Below are 15,733 nucleotides of genomic sequence, written 5' to 3'. Positions count from 1 at the left end.
CCCACTGTCAACATTAGACAGATCAACGAGACAGAAAGTTAACAAGGATACCCAGGAATTGAACTCAGCTCTGCACCAAGCAGACCTAATAGACATCTATAGAACTCTCCACCCCACATCAACAGAATATACATTTTTTTCAGCACCACACCACACCTATTTCAAAATTGACCACATAGCTGGAAGTAAAGCTCTCCTCAGCAAATGTAAAAGAACAGAAATTATAACAAACTGTCTCTCAGACCACAATGCAATCAAACTAGAACTCAGGATTAAGAAACCCACTCAAAACCACTCAACTACATGGAAACTGAACAACCTGCTCCTGAATGACTACTGGGTACATAACAAAATGAAGGCAGAAATAAAGATGTTCTTTGAAACCAACGAGAACAAAGACACAACATACCAGAATCTCTGGGACACATTCAAAGCAGTGTGTAGAGGGAAATTTATAGCACTAAATGCCCACAAGAGAAAGCAGGAAAGATCCAAAATTGACACCCTAACATCACAATTAAAAGAACTCAAAAAGCAAGAGCAAACACATTCAAAAGCTAGCAGAAGGCAAGAAATAACTAAAATCAGAGCAGAACTGAAGGAAATAGAGACAAAAAAAGCCTTTCAAAAAATTAATGAATCCAGGAGCTGGTTCTTTGAAAGGATCAACAAAATTGATAGACCGCTAGCAAGACTAATAAAGAAAAAAAGAGAGAAGAATCAAATAGATGCAATAAAAAATGATAAAGGGGATATCACCACCGATCCCACAGAAATACAAACTACCATCACAGAATACTACAAACACCTCTATGCAAATAAACTAGAAAATCTAGAAGAAATGGATAAATTCCTCGACACATACACTCTCCCAAGACTAAACCAGGAAGAAGTTGAATCTCTGAATGGACCAATAACAGGCTCTGAAATTGTGGCAATAATCAATAGCTTACCAACCAAAAAGAGTCCAGGACCAGATGGATTCACAGCCAAATTCTACCAGAGGTACAAGGAGGAACTGGTACCATTCCTTCTGAAACTATTCCAATCAATAGAAAAAGAGGGAATCCTCCCTAACTCATTTTATGAGGCCAGTACCATCCTGATACCAAAGCCGGGCAGAGACACAACCAAAAAAGAGAATTTTAGACCAATATCCTTGATGAACATTGATGCAAAAATCCTCAATAAAATATTGGCACACCGAATCCAGCAGCACATCAAAAAGCTTATCCACCATGATCAAGTGGGCTTCATCCCTGGGTTGCAAGGCTGGTTCAATATACGCAAATCAATAAATGTAATCCAGCATATAAACAGAACCAAAGACAAAAACCACATGATTATCTCAATAGATGCAGAAAAGGCCTTTGACAAAATTCAACAACCCTTCATGCTAAAAACTTTCAATAAATTAGGTATTGATGGGATGTATCTCAAAATAATAAGAGCTATCTATGACAAACCCACAGCCAATATCATACTGAATGGGCAAAAACTGGAAGCATTCCCTTTGAAAACTGGCACAAGACAGGGATGCCCTCTCTCACCACTCCTATTCAACATAGTGTTGGAAGTTCTGGCCAGGGCAATTAGGCAGGAGAAGGAAATAAAGGGTATTCAATTAGGAAAAGAGGAAGTCAAATTGTCCCTGTTTGCAGACGACATGGTTGTATATCTAGAACACCCCATTGTCTCAGCCCAAAAATCTCCTTAAGCTGATAAGCAACTTCAGCAAAGTCTCAGGACACTAAATCAATATACAAAAATCACAAGCATTCTTATACACCAATAACAGACAGAGAGCCAAATCATGAATGAACTCCCATTCACAATTGCTTCAAAGAGAATAAAATACCTAGGAATCCAACTTACAAGGGATGTGAAGGACCTCTTCAAGGAGAACTACAAATCACTGCTCAATGAAATAAAAGAGGATACAAACAAATGGAAGAACATTCCATGCTCATGGGTAGGAAGAATCAATATCGTGAAAATGGCCATACTGCTCAAGGTAATTTATAGATTCAATGCCATCCCCATCAAGCTACCAATGACTTTCTTCACAGAATTGGAAAAAACTGCTTTAAAGTTCATATGGAACCAAAAAAGAGCCTGCATCGCCAAGTCAATCCTAAGCCAAAAGAACAAAGCTGAAGGCATCACGCTACCCGACTTCAAACTATACTACAAGGCTACAGTAACCAAAACAGCATGATACTGGTACCAAAACAGAGATATAGATCAATGGAACAGAACAGAGCCCTCAGAAATAACGCCGCATATCTACAACTATCTGATCTTTGACAAACCTGAGAAAAACAAGCAATGGGGAAAGGATTCCCCATTTAATAAATGGTGCTGGGAAAACTGGCTAGCCATATGTAGAAAGCTGAAACTGGATCCCTTCCTTACACATTATACAAAAATTAATTCAAGATGGATTAAAGACTTAAACGTTAGACCTAAAACCATAAAAACCCTAGAAGAAAACCTAGGCATTACCATTCAGAACATAGGCATGGGCAAGGACTTCATGTCTAAAACACCAAAAGCAATGGCAACAAAAGCCAAAATTGACAAATGGGATCTAATTAAACTAAAGAGCTTCTGCACAGCAAAAGAAACTACCACAGCAAAAGAGTGAACAGGCAACCTACAAAATGGGAGAAAATTTTTGCAACCTACTCATCTGACAAAGGGCTAATATCCAGAATCTACAATGAACTCAAACAAATTTACAAGAAAAAAACAAACAACCCCATCAAAAAGTGGGCAAAGGATATGAACAGACACTTCTCAAAAGAAGACATTTATGCAGCCAAAAGACACATGAAAAAATGCTCATCATCACTGGCCATCAGAGAAATGCAAATCAAAACCACAATGAGATACCACCTCACAGCAGTTAGAATGGCAATCATTAAAAAGTCAGAAAACAACAGGTGCTGGAGAGGATGTGGAGAAATAGGAACACTTTTACACTCTTGGTAGGACTGTAAACTAGTTCAACCATTGTGGAAGTCAGTGTGGCGATTCCTCGGGGATCTAGGACTAGAAATACCATTTGACCCAGCCATCCCATTACTGGGTATATACCCAAAGGACTATAAATCATGCTGCTATAAAGACACATGCACACGTATGTTTATTGCGGCACTATTCACAATAGCAAAGACTTGGAACCAACCCAAATGTCCAACAATGATAGACTGGATTAAGAAAATGTGGCACATATACACCATGGAATACTATGCAGCCATAAAAAATGATGAGTTCATGTCCTTTGTAGGGACATGGGTGAAATTGGAAATCATCATTCTCAGTAAACTATCGCAAGGACAAAAAACCAAACACCACATGTTCTCACTCATAGATGGGAATTGAACAATGAGAACACATGGACACAGGAAGGGGAACATCACACTCTGGTGACTGTTGTGGGGTGGGGGGGGGGAGGGATAGCATTAGGAGATATACCTAATGCTAAATGACAAGTTAATGGGTGTAGCACACCAGCATGGCACATGTATACATATGTAACTAACCTGCACATTGTGCACATGTACCCTAGAACTTAAAGTATAATAATAATTTAAAAAAGGAAAAAAAAAGACAAAAATACTATAATAAAAGATGCTTCTATCACACCTATTACTCAGGAAATTACAAGGGCTTCAGGAGCTCTGTGCCAGGAGGGGGAACAGAAGACCAAGTGTATATTTCTTATTGTATCACATCACAAGGGTGAACCTCAAATTGGATTTGTCTGATTTTTCCTTTTGATTAGTATTAGAGGCCATGCGTTCTCGGCAGGAATTCTTTAGAAATGGCGCTGTGCTCTTCTCATTACATCGCCGTGGGACAAACAATGTCACTGTGTCCCACTGCTAGTAATGTTAACCTTAATTACCTGGAAAAGTTGGTGTTTGTCAGGCTTCTTGGCCAGGCATAGTGGCTCACGCCTGTAATCCCAACACTTTGGGAGGCCAAGGCAGGTGGATTGCTTGAGCTCAGGAGTTCAATAGTGGGCAACATAGTGAGACCTCTTCTCTACAAAAAAACATAAAAATTAGCTGGGCATGGTGGCACGTGCCCGTAGTCCCAGCTACCTGGGAGACTGAAGTGGGAGGATGGTTTGAGCCTGGGAGATTGAGGCTGCAGTGAGATTGCACCTTTGCACTCCAGTCTGGGTTGACAAAGCGACCCTGTGTCAAAACAAAATAAAACAAAAACCCCAAAACATTATTTTTGCCTTTGTAATTGAACAGCATTCTGTGGGGAGATATTCTGAAATGACACCAACATATTGTTCCTCACAGACCCTCACTCGTTAGCCTTAGCATCTGTAGAGCACTCTGCCTGAATCAGCTTCCACTGTGGTGATGGCCTATTGAGATTTTCTATTTCTATCAGTCCTTCTTCATTTATTAGTTGGCATTCTACTGTAAGAAGCATTTTCCTTTCTCCCTATTCATTCAATAACTCACTCACTCACTCATTCATTCATGTAAGTATGAATTCATTGATTTCTTTTCATCCAATGGGTTGTATCCACTGACATCACTATTTTCATACTCAAATCCTCCCAGATTTGGCTAGTAGGAGCCCCTTCAAGATAGATACTGTGTCCTTTGACATGTCCTCATCATTATTTGAGCACTTCCTTGGTTTCTGGCACAAAAGATGTTTCAGACTCATCTTATACTTTTCCTGCCCCAGGAGCCTTGATTCCTTTCACAAGATGTTTGGTGTTTCACAAGGTGTTTGGAAACCAAGATCTAGGCCTTCAGTGAGCACCTTTCTACTGGGTCTCATTGCTTCTAGGCCCTTTTCAGTGGACAGAGCTAGAAAATAAATGTATGTATCTGTATACGTATACACACATACATCTCTATTTTTATGTAAATTAAAAACTGTGAGTTTCTATTTATCTCCAATTGCAATCTAACAACCCAATGTTCTTTCTAATCATTCACTTTTATAAAATCACTTATCTGACAGTGATTCCATTATCCTCTGATTATAGATTCCATTAGCCTCACTGTGTGTACATTTTCACTTAGCTTTCTATTTTTTTTTTTTTTAGATGGAGTCTCGCTCTGTTGCCCAGGCTGGAGTGCAGTGGTGTGATCTCAGCTCACTGCAATCTCCACCTCCTGGATTCGAGTAATTCTCCTGCCTCAACCTCCCGAGTAGCTGGAACTACAGGCTTGCACCACCACACTCGGCTAATTTTTGTATTTTTAGTAGAGATGGGGTTTCACCATGTTGGCCAGGCTGGTCTTGAACTCCTGACCTCAGGTGATCCACCCGCCTTGGCCTCCCAAAGTGCTGGGATTACAAGCGTGAGTCACCACACTCAGCCTCAATTTTCTAATTTTCTCAGTGTAACTAATCACCCAGTCACAATAACCACTTTCTTCTCTGTATCACCCGTAACTATGTCCGTGACCACGGAACATACCAACACCCCCTTGCAGCCCCTACTACAAGAGAGCCCTCTTCCTTCCCCTCACTGTCCCTCTTCCTTGCCCCAGGGCACACTAATGTGTCCATGCTGGTCCCCCTACCCCTCCCACTGCTCTAATTCTTCTACTACCAGGCAGGCAGAAACCCTCCACAACCTCACCACTCCATTTCTTGGCCTCCAGGCATGCCAACACTTCTGTGTCCATGTCCCTTCTGCCTCTTTTCTTAGTGTGTAGAGCATACTGACACCCCAGGGGACGATAAGGAAGGGAAGGAAAACTTCACGTCTCATTTTTGCTTCCAAATTTTAAGTGTATTTCAATGTCTTTCTGCCAAAACTTTAATGGGATTTTAACTCTCTGTGCCTCAATTTCTATTGTTGCTTATGAGATACCTTGTAAGCCTACAATAGCATGTGCAGGGCCCACCCCAAAGGCTGCCACCAGCAGGCCTAGTGTATCATGGGAATATATATTAAAGGACTACCATTAAGTAGTGTGTGATTCAAGTTGTATATACAGGTTTTAGAAGACCTGATGTTAGACATCTCTCTGATAGTTTCTTAATTAATTGAAAAACTTCCTTATTCCCAGTAGTAGTTGTATATTCAAGTTGGGTCAAAGTGAAGAGAAAATTACATAGTGTCTGAACTACTTAATAAGCCCTTTCTTCTTACCTTTGACGTGTGCTAAGGGAGCTGCTAAATGCCATCTTTACAAGGAATGTAATTTAACATTCTTCCTGTAAAAATATTGACCTCCTGGTAGATATGATCAATATATCTTGATCTTATTGATGAAATGTTGATTTCTTTTCTGTGTAATAGAACCCAGTTTTTGAAATTCAAGAGCAGCAGGAGGAAATAGTGGAACCAAACACTGATTATAATGATTCCAAGATGATAATAAGGGTAAACTTACTTATTTTCATAAAACTGAGTTATGAGCAGTGGTGTTCTCCTGTAGAAAAAAATATGGATTTGTTTAGAAAACTCAGCTTTCTTTTCTTTTTCATCTAAGAATACACCAATATTGGCTTTAGCTAAATTATACTTTGCTTTGTGAGTAGGGATCTATGTCTTCATTTTAGGAAGAGGAGTTTCCTGTTGTACCTCCCATATGAGCACCCTTGAGTTATTTTTAATCTCTTGAGACTTGTCAGGGCTTCGTAAGCACTAGGCATTATTCATTACAATTCATGAGTCCAGGAATGATTTATTATAGATAATTTTTCTTCTTGAGACAGGGTCTCACTCTATCTCCCAGATTGAAGTGCAGTGGTGTGATCATAGCTCTCCATAGCCTCGACCTCCTGGGCTCAGACTTCTGAGCAGCTAAGACTACAGGTGTGTGCCACCACACCCTGCTAATTTTTACATTTTTTGTGGAGATGAGGTCTTGCTGTGTTGCCCAGCCTTCTTGGAGGAGACTATGTGATTTATCTCACAGATGAGGACACAGGCAGAAAGGGAATATGACTTGCCCAAGACCACATAGAGGATTAGAGGAAAATTGGAAATAGAAATCTAGTGGCCTAATTTCCATTCTGTTGCCCTCTCCATTATATCAAAAGGCCACAGGGGAGGAAAAAAAGACCAGGCACCTGAGTGATGAAATAGCTCCCCTCAGTGTCCTTTCCATGGTATTACAGAAGGACTCGGGACATCTGTTTTCCCGCGGAAGCAAAGGCTCGTCTTTCTGATGATTGCTACGTAGTGAGAGTCCATGGGAGGCACTTCTTGGTGAACCTTCCAATCACAAACTAAAACCATGGCACAGAAATCAGCACAGTTAGAAATGGGCTGACATATGCAGATTGGTAGCTGGAATTTGCCCAAGTGGGGAGGAAAAAACTGTGTCTGAAAATCTTTTAAAATAAAATACATTATGCATATGAAAAGGAATAAAGAATTACGTAATGAGAAGTTGGATTCCCACCCAAAAGATTGAAAAATAAATCATTGCTGAATCAGCTGAAGCCCCCAGTGTATCCCTCTTGGGACATCTTCCTTTTCCCCCATGGCAACCACTAACCTGAATTTTCTACTTATCCTTCTTTCCCTTTTCTTTATAGCATCCACAAACTTTAGTTCAGTTTTTCATGATTTTGTATTTCATTTAAATGATATTATACTGCAGGTTTTCTTCTGCAGCTTCCCTTACCATGCAGCATCATGCTGTGAGCTTACATGGTCATTATTGGTAGCTTTAGTTCATTTATTTTCACTGCTATATAGAATTATTGGAGAAGTATTTTTATTCATTCCCTATTTGTTGGACATTTGGATCATTTTCAAATTTTTCTAACACAAACAATGCTGTTACAAACTTTGTGGTACAGGACCCAGTGTTTATATGTGTAAGAATTTTTTTTTCTGATTGCATGAATGTACCTACAAGTAGGACTGCTGAATGGAAGGGGTCTACACATGTTCAACTTAAGAGATTATATTAAATTGCTCTACAACATGGTTGCACCATTTTTTGCTTCCCCCAGTAATATATTAAGAACTCCAGGGGCTGGGCATGGTAGCTAATGCCTATTATCCCAGCACTTTGAGAGTCCAAGGTGGAAGGAGTTCAAATAAGGAGTTCAAGACCAGCCTGGGTAACATAGCAAGACCCTGTCTCTAAAAATAAAATTTAAGAAAACAATCAGCTGAGCATAGTGGTGCCCAGCTGCAATCCTTGCTTATCAGGAGACTGAGGCAGGAGGATGGCTTGAGCCTGGGAGTTCAAGGCTACAATGAGCTTTGATCCTGCCACTGCATTCTAGCCTGGGCGACAGAGCAAGATCCTGTCTTAAAAAAAAAACAAATGCTCCATTGTTCTAAATCTTCTTCAGAATTTAGCGTTGCTAGATTTATTTTTGTCAGTGTGGTGGGTGTAAGATGGTATTTTATTATTGCAATTTTTATGTATTTTATTATTAATAAGTTTGGGCATCTTTTCACATTTATTGGTCATTTGTGTTTTCTCATCTGTGAAATGCCTATTCATGTCTTTTGCCCATTTTTTATTAGGTTGTTTACCTTTTTCTTTTTAATTTATAGAAGCTCGTTATATATTGTGGTTACCAATCTTTTGCTAGCTATATGTGTAGCACGTATCTTCCAGTAGTTTTGGTTTGTCTTTTTACTCTCTTCTTGGTGCCTTTTAAAAATTAGATGTGCTAATATTTGTAGTTTTTATTTTGAAGCAATTTCTTTCTCTTTTTTTTCTTTTTTTTTTTTTTGAGACAGAATTTCGCTCTTGTTGCCCAGGCTACATTGCAATGGCATGATCTTGGCTCACCGCAACATCCATCTCCCAGGTTCAAGCAATTCTCCTGGCTCAGCCTCCTGAGTAGCTGGGATTACAGGCATGCACCACCAAACCTGGCTAATTTTGTATTTTTAGTAGAGACAGGGTTTCTCCATGTTGGTCAGGCTGGTCTCAAACTCCCAACCTCAGATGATCCGCCCACCTCAGCCTCCCAAAGTGCTGGGATTACAGGCATGAGCCACCATGGCCAGCCTATTTTGAAATAATTTCAAAATTACAGAAAGTTTCCAACAAAGAATTCTTACGTGGTCATGTTGAATCTAACCATACCCAAATTTACAGGTGGTTAAGATTTTTCCATCGGTGTTTTACAATTTTATCTATCTTTTTTCCTTGCCCTATTTCAGATCCAACTGCAGACATCATGTTTTTTTGACCTCTGCCCAAAATTTCAGTATGTATTTCCTTAGAATAAAGACATAATATCACTTATATAATCACAGTACAATGACAAGAATCAAGATTTTTAAAAACTGAGATGACATTTACACAATATAAAATTAACTTTTTTTTTTTTTTGAGAAGGAGTCTCACTGTGTCACCCAGGCTGTAGTGCAGTAGGGCGATCTCGGCTCACTGCAACCTCTGCCTCCCTGGTTCAAGCGATTCTCCTGTCTCAGCCTCCAGAGTAGTTGGGATTACAGGTGCACGTCACCACACCCGGCTAATTTTTGTATTTTTAGTAGAGACAGGGTTTCACCACGTTGGTCAGGTTGGTCTCAAACTCCTGACCTCGTGATCTGCCTGTCTCGGCCTCCCAAGGTGCTGAGATTACAGGCATGAGCGAGACTGGGTCTCAAAATAAAATAAATAAATCAATAGGCCAGACTTGGTGGCTCATGCCTGTAATCCCAGCACTTTGGGAGGCCAAGGCGGGTGGATCACCTGAGGTCAGAAGTTCGAGTCCAGCCCAGCCAACATGGCAAAACTTCATCTCTACTAAAAATACAAAAATTAGCTGGGTTTGGTGGTGGGCACCTGTAATCCCAGCTACTTGGGAGGCTGAGGCATGAGAATTGCTTGAACTCGGGAGGTGGAGGTTGTGGTGAGCCGAGATTGTGCCATTGCACTCCAGCCTGGGCAACAAGAGGGAAACTCCATCTCAAAAAATTAATTAATTAATTAATTAATTAATTAAATAAACAAATAATACAGTTCACAATCCAGTGGCATCTAGTACATTCAAAATGCTGTGAAACCACCACCTCTATTTTAGTTCCAAAACATTTTTGTCACCCTAAAATAAAACCAATACCCATTAAGCGGTTACCCGCCAGTCGCTCTACCCCCCACCCCACCCCACCCCACCCCTGCAGCAGCTATTAATCTGCTGTTTTAATGGATTTACTTCTTCTGGAGATTTCACATAAATGGAATCATTCAATGTGTGATGTTTTGTGTTTCACTTCTTTCGCTTCATATAAGGTTTTTGAGGTTCATCTATGTTGTCCATGTATTTGCGTCAGCACTTCATTCCTTTTTATGGCTGAATTATATTCCATTATATGTATATACCACAATTTGTTTATTCATTCATCCATTGATGGACATTTGGGTTGTTTCTACCTTTTGGCTGTTGTGAACAGTGCCACTATGAACATTCATGTTCAAGTATTTGAGTACCTGATTTCCATTTTTTTTTTTTTTTTGGCTAGGTACCTAGGAGTGGAATTGCTGGGTCATATAATAATTCTATATCTGACTTTCGGAGAAAGTACCAAACTGTGTTCCGCAGTGGCTGGGCCATTTTACGTTACCACTAACAATGTATGAGGTTTGCAGTTTCTACACATCCTTGCTAACACTTGCTATTTTCCTTTTTTTTTTTTTAAGACAGAGTCTCTCTCTGTCACCCAGTCTGGAGTGCAGTGGCACGATCTCGGCTCACTGCAACCTCTGCCTCTTGGGTTCAAGGGATTCTCCTGCCTCAGCCCTGCAAGCAGCTGGGATTACAGGTGCCTGCCACCATGCCTGGCTAATTTTTGTATTTTTAGTACAGATGGTGTTTCACCATGTTGGCCAGGCTGGTCTCGAACTCCTAACCTGAAGTGATCCATCCACCTCGGCCTCCCAAAGTGCTGGGATTACAGGTGTGAGCCACCGTGCCCGGTCTTCCTTTTTTTTTTTAATAGCCATTCTACTGGGTATAAAGTGGTATCTCATTGTAGTTTTTATTTGCATTTCCCTAATGACTAATGATGTCATTATCTTATGACATCATTATATCAAGATAGGTCATTATCTTATTATAAGGAATCTTATGTGCTTATTGGCCACTTCTATATCTTCTTTGAAGAAATGTCTGTTTAAGTCCTTTGCCCATCTTTAGACTGGGTTTTCTTTTTCTTTTTGAGTTGTAAGAATTCTTTATATATTCTAGATAATAGACCCCAGATATATGATGTGCAAGTTTTTTTTCCAGTCTATACATTGTCTTTTTAACTATGTTGCCCAGGGTAGTTTCAAACTCCTGGGCTCAAGCAGTCCACCTGCCTCAGCCTCCTGAATAGCTGGGACTATTAGCATGTACCACCATGCCCGGCTACTTTCTTGATAATGTCCTTTATTACACAAAAGTTTTCAGAAGTTTGATTATGATGTGTCTTGGCATGGATTTCTTTAGGTTTATCTGATTTGGGTTCATGCAGCTTCTTGATCTGTAGATTTATGTCTTTTGCCAAATTTGGGACATTTTCAGCCATTATTTCTTCAAAAAATTTTTTAGCCCCACCTCATTCTTCTCTCCTTTAGGGACTCTGATGACACAAATGTTAGGTCTTTCATTACAGTCTCATGAGACCCTGAGACACTGTTTATTTTTTTCTATTTTCTCTCTGTCATTCAGCTTGGGTGATTTATATTGTTCTATCTTCAAATTCATTGATTCTTTTCTCTGTCTTCTCTATTCTGCCATTGAGTCCATATTTTGGTTGTATTTTTTTCAGTTCTAATTTGTTTTTTTTTAAGGCGGGATTTCACTCTGTCACCCAGGCTGGAGTACAGTGGCACAATCATGGTTCACTGTAACCTCAAACTCCTGGGCTCAAACGATCCTCCTGCCTCAGCCTCCCGAGTAGCTGGGACTACAGGCACACACCATCATGCCTGGCTAATTTTTTTATATTTTATTTTTAGAGATGGGATCTTGCTTTGCTGCGCAGGCTGTCAGTTCTAAAATTTACACTTGGTTCTTCTTTATATATTCTACTTCTCTGCAAAGAGTTTATATTTTTTCATTTGTTTCAAACATGTTCATATTGTTCATTGAAACATTTTATGACAGCTGCTTTAAAATCTTGGTAACATAATTCCAACATTTGTATCATCTTGATGTCAGTGTCTATTATGATCTCCCCTCAGGAGACCCTGGATGGTTTTTGTTTTTTGTTTTTCTTGAGACAGAGTCTCTCTCTGTCGCCCAGGCTGGAATGCAGTGGTGTGATCTTGGCTCATTTAAACCTCCGCCTCCCGGGTTCAAGCAATCCTCCTGCCCCAGCCTCCTGAGTAGCTGGGATTACAGGTGCCTGCCACTATGCCCGGCTTTTTTTTTTTTTTTTTTCGGTAGAGACGAGGTTTCACCACGTTGGCCAGGTTGGTCTCGAACTCCTAACCTCAAGTGATCCACCTGCCTTGGCCTCCCAAAGTGCTGGGATTACAGGCATGAGCCACCACACCCGGCCTTCTGGGTGGCTTTTAAATCTTGTTTTAGCAGACCTTTTCTGACTCTATGCTGGTGGGAAAAGAGGGGCACTGCCTCTTTGCTGCCAGGTGGAGGTAAAAGTCCAGGCTCCCACTGGGGACACCTTGGGGTGTGCGTGGAGGCGGGGGATGCCTCCTTACTCCTGGGCTGCTGGGAGGGCTCCCATGTGCGCTCCATTGACACCACCCAGGCGCGGAGCAGGAGGGTTTGCCACATGGAGGTGAAAGTCCAGGCTTCTCATGCATCTTGGCTAGTAGGGGCGGAGATGGGCTGTTTGGCTGCCACAGGGCAGTTAACATCAAAAAATTTTTTGTTTTACTAGGCTGCCCTTTTCCTTGTCTTTTGGCTTTTCCGGGAGCTTTTTTTCACCTGCATCCCTTGGTGTTTCCAGGTTGTCAGCTCCTCCAGCTCCCAGTCCAGGACATATAAATTAAAAAAAAAACAAACCCTGGGAACTCACCACCTTGTCTTCCCTAAGTCTCAAGCTCCCTGGCCTGTGGACCTTCTCTCTATATCTTCCAGAGTCTTCATAGGCTTGTTTTAGGTATAATGTCCAGGGGGATTGGCTGTACTTAGCAGAATAAATTGAGAGAAGTACATCTACCCCAATTTGTTCCCAATACTGTTTTCCAATGGTCCATTTTTTTTTCTTCTGAGCTGCAATGTTAGTTCTTGTCATATATCAAGTTTCCATATATACATCGGTATTTTTAATGGATTATTTATTTACTTTAAAATTTTAGATTCAGGGGGTACTTGCGCAGGTTTGTTACACAGGTATTACACAGGTATATTGTGCGGTGCTGAGAATTGGGCTTCTAATGATCGCATCGCCCAGGTAGTAAACATAAACATGTGTTTTCAGCCCTTGCCTTCCTCGCTGCCCCTTTTGGAATCCCCTGCTTATTGTTCCCATCTTTGTGTTCCTGTGTATTTAAATGGGAATTTTAATTTCTTTACATTTATTGAAATTTCCTTTAATGTCCTTCAGTAAGATTGCATAATTTTCTTAGTAAAGGATATGCTCATCTTTTGTTAGCTTTATTAGTAGGTAGGCTTTTAATTTTTGCTCCATTGGGAATAGGACCTCTTTTAAAGCATATTTTAAATTGTTACTGGTGTATAGAAATGAAGTTGACTTCTGTATATTGATTTTACAACAATAAACTCTTTGCAATTGTAATACTTTTTCTGCAGATTATTTTGTAGCCTGGTTTGTATAGCTTTAATTTCTTTTTGTTTTACTGTGCTGGCTAAGACTTTTTATTATACTAGTGAAGTAGAGCGATGACAGTGGACATTCTTTCCTTGGTCCTGATTTTAAAGGAAATACTTCTAATATTTTACCTTTGAGTATGACTTATGGTGTAGGTTTTTGAACATGTCTTTTATCAAGTTAAGGAAGTTCCTATTCCTGGTTTACTAAAAGTTTGTTGTTTTTTTTTTTTTTAGAGAGAGAGTGTAGCTCTGTCGCCCAGGCTGGAGTGCAGTGGCGTAATCTCGGCTCACTGCAACCTCCACCTCCCAGGTTCAAGCGATTCTCCTGCCCCAGCCTCCCAAGTAGCTGAGATTACAGATGCACACCACCATGCCCGGCTAATTTTTGTATTTTTAGTAGAGGTGGAGTTTCACCATGTTGGCCAGGCTGGTCTCGAACTCCTGGCCTCAAGTGATCCACCTGACTCGTCCTCCCAAAGTGCTGCAATTACAGGCGTGAGCCACCTCCCCTGGTTGCTAGAAGATTTTTTAAAAACCAGGAATGGAGATGATCATAAGGTTTTTAACCTTGCTTTTGTTAATGTGGTGCAGATAATTTTTAAAGCCTTTTAGTTAATTCAAAATCATTACTTGGGTTAAGAGAACACAACGTTTTAAATAAAAGCTTTATCATATCAGGATTCAGGCAAAAACAATGAAGTAAAAGTCTGCTAAGATTATAGATCTTTTACCAACTTAATAATTTTTAGTCAATAAAGGGATTTGGAGTTAACTCAGTTTTAAAGGTCTGTAAATCAAAAGGAAGTTTTTCTTTTTTCTGCCTGTAATCAGGTCATAACTTCCAGTTTGCTATGTCATTTGTAAAAGTGTCCAATTCTACATATAGGCCTTTAAGAAGTAATTGCATTATTGAATTAGAGCAATTGGAGAATGTATTATGTTTCAGTTTGGAGAGAATGCCATCCCTAAGCTTCAGGGACATCCCTGCCTTCTGACTTCTCCAAGTCCAGCGGTAAGGAGTCTTGGGAGAATAAGAGAAAGAAAGGGTAGGAAACTGGGCTCTCAGCACCCTTTTCTTGACTACCCTTAATTGCAGGTGTCAGCCTGTGAAATTTTGGCCAACTTCAAGCCTACACGGTAAATATATGTCTTGTGGAAATGCAAACAAACTTGTATTTCTTTATGGACAGTTAGTGATGGCTCTAGTCAAGGTAGATTATTTTTAAAAAACCAAATGTAGGCTGGGCACAGTGGCTCACGCCTGTAATCCCAGCACTTTGGGAGGCTGAGGTGGGTGGATCACTTAAGGTCAGGAGTTCAAGACCAGCCTGGCCAACATAGTGACTCCCCATCTCTACTAAAAATACAAAAATTAGCCAGGCATGGTGGCATGCACCTGTAGTCTCAGCTACTCGGGAGGCTGAGGCAGGAGAATTGCTTGAACCCGGGAAGCGGAGGTTGCAGTGAGCCGAGATTGTGGCACTGCACTCCAGCCTGGGCGACAGAGCAAGACTCTATCTCAAAAAAAAAAAAAAAAAAAAAAAAAAAAAGAAAGCAAATGTACTTTTTGGTGATTTTAATGAGAATACAAAATGATTATTGTTCTTTCTGGCTCTGGATGTTAGCCCAGTGTTTTGTAGTTAACTGTAATGTGATACAGTATGACATAAAATGTCATATGCAATATTATTTCAGACTGACTGTGATATACCTAAGTAGGCCAGAATTAGCACAAAATAGTCCACCTGGAAAAAAACACCCTTATGAAAATGTCAATTCATCCGAGAAATTAAGAATGGAACTATTGACTAAAAATGTTACTTCCGTAGGAAATTAATGATTTTGATAATTTATTAATTAATGAAAAGTTTTTAAAAACATGTTTTGACATATTTTCAATGATGAGTTCTTCTATAATAATAGAAATGTATTTTTACAGCATTGGAGCCAGAATATCTGGGTTTAAATTATAGCTATGCCTTTTATGAATTGTGTTGTCTAGGGCAAATAACTCAGCTCC

The 15,733-nt window shown here is 40.1% G+C and overlaps 1 protein-coding gene across 9 annotated transcripts in view; it reads left to right on the top strand.

The window, feature by feature from the left end:
* The window catches only part of LEMD1 (LEM domain containing 1), a 68,589-nt gene that overhangs the window by 45,666 nt on the left and 7,190 nt on the right, over positions 1-15,733 (top strand). For 2 of the 9 annotated variants that reach the window (XM_011510163.3, XM_011510160.3), the window contains one exon: positions 6,299-6,382. The exons of 6 other annotated variants lie outside the window; for them this stretch is intronic. In XM_011510163.3, coding sequence (XP_011508465.1) covers positions 6,299-6,382 — 84 coding nt within the window. Of the gene's footprint in view, positions 1-6,298; positions 6,383-14,659; positions 14,726-15,733 lie in introns of all 9 variants that reach the window. One more of the 9 variants, XM_011510162.3, reaches the window with a different exon arrangement.

Source organism: Homo sapiens, chromosome 1, assembly GCF_000001405.40.
Source record: "Homo sapiens chromosome 1, GRCh38.p14 Primary Assembly".
Classification (NCBI taxonomy): domain Eukaryota; kingdom Metazoa; phylum Chordata; class Mammalia; order Primates; family Hominidae; genus Homo; species Homo sapiens.
This window is presented reverse-complemented; position numbering and strand designations above follow the sequence as displayed.